The 9618-nt window shown below is 44.2% G+C and overlaps 1 long non-coding RNA gene, 1 other non-coding gene and 1 pseudogene across 2 annotated transcripts in view, besides 1 other annotated feature; 2 read left to right on the top strand and 1 right to left on the bottom strand.

Moving 5' to 3' along the window:
- Positions 1-9618, top strand: part of LOC107986583 (uncharacterized) — a 40750-nt gene that overhangs the window by 5974 nt on the left and 25158 nt on the right. The gene's annotated exons all lie outside the window — the stretch shown is intronic.
- Positions 14-613: a silencer, noted in NCBI's record as "silent region_17010". NCBI's record gives its function as "represses an Ori minimal core promoter by ATAC-STARR-seq in GM12878 lymphoblastoid cells {active_cell/tissue: GM12878}" and the evidence as "EXISTENCE:reporter gene assay evidence [ECO:0000049][PMID:35858748]".
- TRL-CAG1-7 (tRNA-Leu (anticodon CAG) 1-7) lies at positions 135-217 on the bottom strand. Its single transcript has one exon. It is a non-coding gene; the product is annotated as a tRNA-Leu (tRNA).
- Positions 1967-2074, top strand: RNU6-502P (RNA, U6 small nuclear 502, pseudogene; annotated as a pseudogene).

The raw sequence follows: 9618 nt of genomic DNA, 5'->3' as shown, positions 1-9618 counted from the left end.
ACAAAGAGTGCTTTTATTCCGGAACTCGGAAAATTTATTTTTTAAAAAGAGAGAAGACCATGTCACAAAGAGCAGGTAGGAAAACGTAGCGTAAACTTAAACTCGATTTGTGTCTAAATACTAAAAGTACGAACTGTCAGGAGTGGGATTCGAACCCACGCCTCCAGGGGAGACTGCGACCTGAACGCAGCGCCTTAGACCGCTCGGCCATCCTGACGCGCTTATGCTACATTGTGCTCAGGACTCACTTCTGTCTCTTGTCTAAACGCTATTAGTTCCCCATCCACCAGCCGCCCCCCTACCCCATGTCCCCACCCCCGCCCACCCCCTTGTTGTTCTTTTTCTCAAGATATGGGCATTCCTGGGTTAAAAGGTAAGCCGCCTCTCCGCGAACTGCCTCGGACGGCGCTGCATAGGACCGGTTGTCCGGGCCACAGAGCGGCGTCTCCCGAGTGAACGCCGAGTCACTCCCAGGCTGCGCGGGGAGGGCTGCGGCGGGTGGGGCGGCGGGCGAGGGAGGGCGGGTCGGGGTAGGGGGAGCGGGACGGGGGCGGGGGCGTGGGAGGGGCGGGGCGGGCGTGGGAGGGGCGGGGAGGGGGCGGGGCGGGCGTGAGCCAGCCCAGGGCCGAGTGACTAAGGCGGAAGACGGCGATGGCGCTCTGCTCTCAACTGAATTCTAGTTAAAATAATGGCAATCCTGTTGAACTCAACATTACTAGAATACCTGGCTTAAATTTACACTTAATTCCCAGGAAGTTTTAGGCTTGCTCCAGTTTTTGCTGGAACAAGGTGCTCGCTAATCCTTCTCCTTTGCGTTGTGCTGCAAATCTCCCAGCACGTGGTTACCCTTGGCAGGGCCGGTGGAGGGGACAGGAGCGTGGGAAGCCTGGCTTGTCTTGCCTCTCTGTCGGAGTTTATGGAGGATTTGCGCACTTTTCGGTGTGGATGTTATACTGTAATAAAAACTTTAAAAAGCAAAAGCAAAAACAGCAACAACAAAAATGGGGAGTAGCTTATGTATTTTACTAAACCTGGCGCAGCGGGTACTTGATAGAAGGCCTTGAGCACAACAACTTTTCTAAACATAAACAAAGGTCAGAGGTGACCTACTTCAAATTTTGTTAGCAAGGGTTAGCAGTCAGGATGCCATGGTCGGAATATCACTGACTGGAAGTCAGGGGACCTGAGTACGAATTTCAGACAGAACTAGAACTGGTCACTACCTGGAGAATCTTAGATAAGTCATTTTGCTTCTGTGGACATTAGAAACAGCTTTCTTAGACACCTATAATACTTTCATCGTGAGTTCAATTGATAGAATACAATGTTTAATCCCTTAAATTAAGCATTAAATCCCCATCTCCAGGGAATCAATTAGAGGCAAATTCTGTTCTTCTCAGGCCTACCGATTCAGAAGTTTTGCTATGTCCAACATGGTGACTATAGTTAATAACAACGTTATTGAATACTTGAAAATTGCTAAGAGAGTGGATTTTAAATGTTCTTGCCACAAAAAGAAAAAGATAAGTATGTGATGTAATGGATATGTTAATTAGCTTGATTTAGCCTTCCCACAATGTACACATAGAACAAAACATCATTTTGTACATCATAAATATATATATCTTTATTTGTTGATTTTAAAAATACAAATAAGTAAATTAAAAAGTTATGAGGATAGAGTCCCACAGTAAGTGTTTAATAAGTCCTCTGCAAGGCCTCTAAAATTCAGTCACCTCTGCTCTTTTCACAGGGTAGTGGTGGATACCAACTTTGGAGATGAGGAGAGAGGCAATTCATCCAACATATAGGAAATATTTATTGGGTACCTACTATGTGCCAGGCAGCATTCTAGGTGCTGGTGATCCAACAGTAAACAAACAGACAGAATAAGCTCCACCATCGAAGGGCTTACACTATAATGGGGCAGTGAGCCCAAGAAACATGAAATAAAATGGACAGAGCTGTGCTCCCTTCGGCAAGCACTTACACTAAAATTGGAGCAATGCAGAGAAGATTAGCATGGCCTTTGCACAAGGATGACAGGCAAATTTGTGAAGCATTCCTTTTTGAGACGAAGTCTCGCTCTCGTTGTCCAGGCTGGAGTGCAATGGCGCGATCTCGGCTCACTGCAACCTCCTCCTCCCGGGTTTAAGCGATTCTCCTGCCTCAGCCTCCCTAGGAGCTGGGATTACAGGCGCCCGCCACCATGCCCGGCTAATTTTTGTATTTTTAGTAGAGACGGGGGTCTCACTGTGTTGGCCAGGCTGGTCTCGAACTCCTGACCTCAGGCGATCCACTCATCTCAGTCTCCCAAAGTGCTGGTATGACAGGCGTGAGCCACTGAGCCCGACGGGAGCATTCTATTTTTTTAAAAAAAGAATAAAAAATTAAAAAAAATAATAAAATGGAGAGAAGCTGAGACCTCTAATAAAGTAGTTATTTTAACTCCAGTCTCTAGGCCTCATGAGAAATCCCAGCTTAGTTCCCCAGTGAAAAATAGAATTGCCCTCTAAAGAAAGAGAAGTGGGGGAGGAAAAGCCCAATTTAGAAACAATACATGTATGTATTTTTTGAGACGGGATCTGGCTCTGTTGCCCGCGCTAGAGAGTAGCAGCATGATCCTGGCTCACTGTAGCCTCGAACTCCCAGGAGGAGTACAGGAGCAAGGATTACAGTAGCTAGGACTACAGGCACACACCAGCTGGCCTGGCTGTTTTTTATTGTTTTGTTATTATGTTGCCCTGGCTAGATAGTTTTATAAAAGGTTGAAAATGGCCAGGTGCAGTGGCTCACACCTGTAATCCCACCATTTTGGGAGGCCGAGGCGGGTGGATCACGTGAAGTCAAGAGTTCGAGACCAGCCTAGCCAGCATGGTGTAAACCCATCTCAACTAAAAATTAAAAAAAAAAAAAAAATTAGCCAGGCGTGGTGGCACACGCTTGTAATCCCAGCTACTTGGAAGGCTGAGGTAGGAGAATCGCTTGAATCCAGGAGGCGGAGGTTGCAGTGAGCCGAGATCGTGCCATTGCACTCCAGCCTGGGCAACAAGAGCAAAATTCCATCTCAAATAAATAAATGGTTAAAAATATAGAAAGCAAAACGAAGGCCAGACGTGGTGGCTTCACGCCTGTAATCCCAGCACTTTGGGAGGCCAAGGCGGGTGGATCACCTGAGGTCAGGAGTTCAAGACTAGCCTGGCCAACATGGGGGGTTTCAACCCCATCTCTACTAAAAATACAAAAATAGCCAGGCGTGGTGATGCATACCTGTAATCCCAGCTACTCGGGAGGCTGAGGCAGGAGAATCGCTTCATCCTGGAAGGTGGAGGTTGCAGTGAGCCGAGACTGCCATTGCACTCCAGCCTGGGCAACAAGAACGAAACTTCCCCCGACTCCCCGCAACCCCGCACCCCCCACTCCCCTACCCCCCACCTCCCCACCCCCCTACCCCCCACCTCCCCACCCCCCGCTCCGGCTGGCTTTGCCTAGGCTCATTTATGCCCACCATTCAGCCAAGATGCTAAGCCTCTCTCTTCATAAAGTCTTTCATTCCCAAGGAGGCTAGACGTGATGGGAAAGCAGTTCCCCGAGGTCTTGCCCCAGTGCCATGTTCTTATCCAACTTCTGCTTGCCTCACATTGGCCAAAGCAAGTCACAGGGCCCAAACTAAAGGCAGTGTAGGGAGAGGGTACTGCAAGAGTGGGGCCCAGGGAGGAAAGGTTTATTGGGTGTATTTGTACAACCATCTACCACAGTAATCTTAAAGAATAGTGAGAAGAAACAAAATTAAGAATTGAAAAACTAAGTTGTAAGACACAAAATTGAAAATCAGGTGAAAGATAAGAAGAGGATAGAGAGTGGGTGTTCATACAAATTTCTTGAGGTAAGCTGTTTTCTGATGAAGCGTGGGGTTTACTCAGCCAGAGGGTATAAGGGCTCAGGGCTCTCAAATAAGATGAAATACAGGATGCATAGTTAAATTAGAATTTCAGCTAAACAATGAATGACTTTTTAGTTTAAGTATGTCCAACATTAAAATACATTACTTTCTGACTCCCAAAGAGGCTGAGTCAATAAAAGCCTACTTGGGAGGTAGGGTTTGGTCTGTCCACACGTGTGTTTGAAAAACAGCCAGCAGCCATCTCTTTCATGTAGTTTAACCATACTTTCCCTGACCTCCAGGTCAGTTTCAAACTTCCTTGAACTTTGCGCACACTCATAACTTAATCTGTCGGTTGATATTTATTGAGCAACTAATATGTGCCAGGTACTTTATTTACAAACAAAGGAAATCTCTGCTTTTGTGGATTCTTGCCTCTGTGATGAAGAAAGACTATTAAAAAAACAAATATGCTTATAGTTTCAAGTATTAATAAGTACTTTCAAGAAAAATAGTAATTGTGCAGGAGTTTTCCCAAAAGAAAAGTAGTGCAGGGTGATGAGTCAGAAAGTAGAAAAGTGTGTGTGTGTGTGTGGGGGGGGGGGGGGTGCTTTTTTACAGAGGGTGGTTAGAGACATCATTTGACCAGAAACCTGAATGAAATGGGGGGCGAGACAAACATATCCAGGGGACACACAGAGGGCACGGCAAGGGCAAAGAACTTGGGGAGAGAATGAAGGAGGAACAAAAGGCTTCTGTGTCTGAAGAGGAGGAATAAGGGAACGAAAGAGATGAAATTGCAAAGATAGCCAAGGACCAGATGGTGTTAGTAGGGCCTGAGTTTAATCCTGAGGCTGCATTGGGAAGCCATTGGAGAATTTTGATAACATAATCTGATTTGTCTTTGAAAACAATACTCTGGGCGGGGCACAGTGGCTCATGCCTGTAATCCCAGCACTTTGGAAGGCTGAGGAGGGCAGATCGCTTGAGCTCAGGAGTTCGAGACCATCCTGGGCAACATAGGGAGATCCTGTCTCTAAAAAAAAAAAAAAAAAAAAAATTAGCCAGCCTGGGCGACAGAGTGAGACTCTATTTCTTTCTTTCTTTTTCTTTTTCATTCTTTTTTTTTTTTTTTTTTTGAGACGGACTCTTGCTCTGTCGCCAGGCTGGAGTGCAGTGGCATGATCTCGGCTCACTCCAACCTCTGCCTCCCTGGTTCAAGCGATTCTCCTGCCTCAGCCTTCAGAGTAGCTGGGACTACAGGCGCACACCACCATGCCCAGCTAATTTTTGTATTTTTTGTAGAGATGTGGTTTCACCATATTGGGCAGGATGGTCTCAATCTCTTGACCTCATGATCCACCTGCCTTGGCCTCCCAAAGTGCTGGGATTTCAGGTGTAAGCCACCACGCCTGGCTGTGAGACTCTATTTCAAAACCAAACCAAACCAAACCAAACCAGACCAGACCAGACGAAACCAAACCAAACCAAACCAAACCAAGCAAAACAATACTCTGGTCTTTGTGGGTAGCTGACCATAGAGGCAAGGGTAGAAGCAGGTGCTATATAAAAAATCCAGGTAAGAAGTGATGATGGCTTAGGGAGCTAGTGGTAAAGAAGGAAAGAAGTGCTCATGTCCAGGATATGTTTTGAAGGCAGAGCTGACAGGACTTACTAGGCGTTTGGAGGTGGAAAATGAGATAAAAAGAGGAATTAGTGCTTATGCCTATATTTTTGGCTCGAGAAAATGGATCACAGAGTCATTAATGGAGTGGAAAAGATTAAGTAAGGTGTAAATTGGTCAGAGGGAATCTAGAGTTGTACTTTGGTCCCCTTAAATTTGAGGTACCTATTATTTGTCACAGAGAAGATGTTCAGGAGTAGAATAAGTAAGGCCATTCTGGAAACCATGTTGGGGCCAGAGTCATCGATTCAGGAGTAGTGAGCCGATAGGTGAGAGTTAATGCTGCAGACGGAGAGAAAAATTAAGTCTTCAGCAGGCTCTTGAAAGGATTAAAAGGCTTTAAACAACAATAAACTAGTCAGCCAGAACTACAATTCAACAACTGCAACAATGTAACAGTGTCTCACTGTGGTTATTACAATCCAAAGCCACTGTCCTGGCACTTGATTATCTTCCACTGCTATTTTGCTGTTTGAATGGAACTGGTGGCTGCCTTCACCTCTCTCTCTTGGAAGAACATGAGGCCAAATTCTTGTACAGTCCAGTACAAGGTCTTTCTGTGGCAGTAGCTTGATGTTATGTTAACTTTCTTACCTCCTACTTGTTCTAAGTTGTATACTGCTTTGTAAACTAACACAAGATTTGCTCAGCTTATAGGAATGTTTGAAAGTCATTTTCTGGACAATGTACTTTGTACCTAACCAACAGCATGGACCGTGGAGTCAGATGGCCTGGAGTCAAATCTCATCTCTGCTTACTCTCTAGCGGGTGATAGAAGCCATTTTATCTCTCTGCTCTTCAGAGTCTTTATTTGTAAAATGGAGACTGCACTGATGCCTACCTACCTCCTAGGGGTCTGAAAAATGGCAGGAATTACAGCACACAAAATACAGGACCTGACGCATAATAAGTACTTTGTTACTGTTAATACTATGAGTATGCATATTCAGTTGCTACGTAAATGCATTTTGCACGATGATCAAAATTTGGAGATATTTCTTGTTCTTTCTTTTTTTTTTCTTGAGATGGAGTCTCGCTCTGTCACCCAGGCTGGAGTGCAATGGTGCAATCTTGGCTACTGCTACCGCTGCCTCCCGGGTTCAAGCAATTCTCCTACCTCAGCCTCCCGAGTAGCTGGCGCCACAGGCGTGGGCCACCACACTCGGCTAATTTTTGTATTTTTAGTAGAGACGGGGTTTTGCCATGTTGGCCAGGCTGGTCTCAAACTCCTGACCTGAGGTGATCCACCGTCTCAGCCTCCCAAAGTGCTGGGATTACAGGCATGAGCCACCGCACCCAGCGAGATATTCCTCTGGAAAGACTCTTGTTACTTCAACTAAGATCTTTAATCCCAAGTAGATGCGTAATATTTTGAAGCATACATCTAGTCTGTTCTCAAACATTAAAGTGCACATGAATCACCATGTTGTTAAATGCAGTTTCTGATTCAGGAGTTCTCAGTGGGATCTAAAGTTCTGTGGTTCTAACAAGACAGTCCAGAATCAGCATGAGTAGCAATGCTTTAAAGTATGCATGGAATCCCTATGCAGTGCTCTCCTCCATGGTCAGCCAGTCTTCTATGATGGATGATTGTTGCTCATCTGACCTTTTCTTGGAAGCTGTTGGCACCACATATATATATTTTATATATATATATAATATATATATGTGCACATATATTATATATGTGTGTGTATATATATGTGTGTGTGTGTGTGCATACATATATATATATGTATTTTAAATGAAAGGATAAACCCAAATATTGGCATTGGTCATATTTGAGTGATGAGATTTGGGACCATTTTTACTTTGTAAAATATACTTTCATGTATTTTTAGGAAAATAAGTTATTTCCATTTTAAAATAATACAATGAGCGCAAGAGTAAATGTGTATGTATTTGGGAGTGGGCTGTCAGGGACTATTGCAAGAGGGGGATTTGAGGAAATATGAGTGCTGTCTGGAGGCAGAAGAGACATGACTCAAGATGTGTGGAGGAATGGCATGGAAGAGCTGCTATTGATTAGGGAAGAGGGAAGTTGTTCAGTTATTTTTCTCACAATCTGAATGTCTGGGCTTAGTTACCTCATAGTCTCTGTTAAATAGAGGCAGGCTCCCAGAAACATGTGACTACCAGAGCTGGCATTTGGCAGTGTGAAATGAAGTCAGCTATTATTATTTTAGGGGTAAGTGCATTTTTAGTATGATTTTTAGTTGTAGGGTGGAAAGGTATTTGTTTCTAGATTAAAAATAAAAACAGACATTAACAAATACTTCAGTTAGTTTCAGTGCTTTTGAACTCATAGTGTCACCTACTTTGCCTGGGTAACTCAGACAGGCTTTGGTAAAGCATTGGCAATGCAACATTTCTTGTCTTTTAGGAGATTTGGAAATAAGGCCAGACATACTGAGACTGATAATTTCCTTATCTCTGGGGCACAATTCTTATAGCTGGTGCCACCAGGACAGGGAGCCAAAGGCAGGTTCTTAGCTCTATCACATAAATTATTTTATTTATTTATTTATTTATTTATTTATTTATTTTTGAGGCAGTGTCTGGTTCTGTCGCCCAGGCTGGAGTGCAGTGGCATGATGTTGGCTCACTGCGACCTCTACCTCCCAGGCTCAAGCCATCCCCCAACCTCAGCCTCCCGAATAGATGGGACTACAGACGTGTGCCACCACGCCTGGCTAATTTTTATATTTTTAGTATAGACAGGGTTTTGCCATGTTGACCAGGCTGGTCTCAGAACTCCTGGCCTCAAGCAATCTGCCCGCCTTGGCCTCCCCAAAGTGCTGGGATTATAGGCATGAGCCACCGCGCCTGGCCCACATAAATTCTTTCTAAGGGGTGTGTGGGGCTGGAGCTGGAGGGAAAAAGGAAGGACATTGTATCTCCTAAGAATCTACCACAAGCTCACTACTGTGCCCAGTGACCATTTTCCTGGAAGGTCATGGGGAAAAAGGAAAGAGGAGTCATAGAGCTGATTATAATCTGTGACTGTTCTTTTTCCCTACTCTCAGAGGGGGATTTCTGTGGCAGTCCATCTATTCTGGGTGAGGTTTAGAGATACATTTTAAGATATACATTCCACATTAAATCAGTAAAGCAACTGCCTGAGGTTCTTAAATATTTATTATTTTTAATAGAATGATTATGAATTGGTTTTATTTTTACTTTGGCATGAGATCTATTCAGAATGGGGGTAAGGAAGGTGTTGAGGTAAAGGCTTGTATCTAAATACACACTTGAATGTAATGTATAACCCCAAGCGAATTCCCATTTGACCCCCTTTTCTCTCCCCTCAGCTCCAGAAACAAGCCCATTTTCCTCTTTCTGGCTGATACCATCCATTCTTCAACTTGAGAGTCCTCTTCTCTGTGGCCCACACTAGAATGCAATGCAGGCTCACAGCTTCTCCACTGCCTACTTGCCCCTAAAAGAAATAGAATGCTTTGGAGGATTTTAATATTGCAGAAATAGATGCTGGATTTAAGCAAGTAAGTGCAGGGAGGATTATAATGTATTCTGAAAGTATTAGAGTGGTATTTACTTTCATAATACATCATAATGTATTATAAATAGATCGAGCAATTTCTTTTAGCTCCTTTTTTTAGTCTTCTCTTTCCTCTTCTCGGAATCCCAGTTTCGTTCAAACATCCCTTTTAAATCCGGGGACTGATGCTACTAAGCCTCCTCCTTCCTTCAATAGACTTTACTCTTGATTTTATCCAACCTATCCTGCAAATACATGTTTACTGATTTATTATAAAGGATATTACAAAGTATACAGATGAAAAGACAGATGGAAAATATGTACAGGGCAAGATGTGTGGGAAGGGGCATGCAGCTCCGAAGCTTTCTCTGTGCACACACTGCCCTCCAGAAACCTCCGTGTGTTCAGCTATCCAAAAGGCCAGAGTGCCAATGGCTACCTACCCTCTGCCCCTGTTTGGGTGGTGAACTTCATTTCTACTACTGTAAAGGTAACCTGGTCAATGGTATAGGTAAGTGAAGCCAACTCTTTAACAGTACTTTTGCAAGAGGA

This window comes from Homo sapiens, chromosome 6 (assembly GCF_000001405.40).
Source record: "Homo sapiens chromosome 6, GRCh38.p14 Primary Assembly".
NCBI classification, from domain to species: domain Eukaryota; kingdom Metazoa; phylum Chordata; class Mammalia; order Primates; family Hominidae; genus Homo; species Homo sapiens.
Note: the sequence above shows the minus strand (reverse complement) of the source record. Positions and strands in the feature narration are given on the sequence as shown.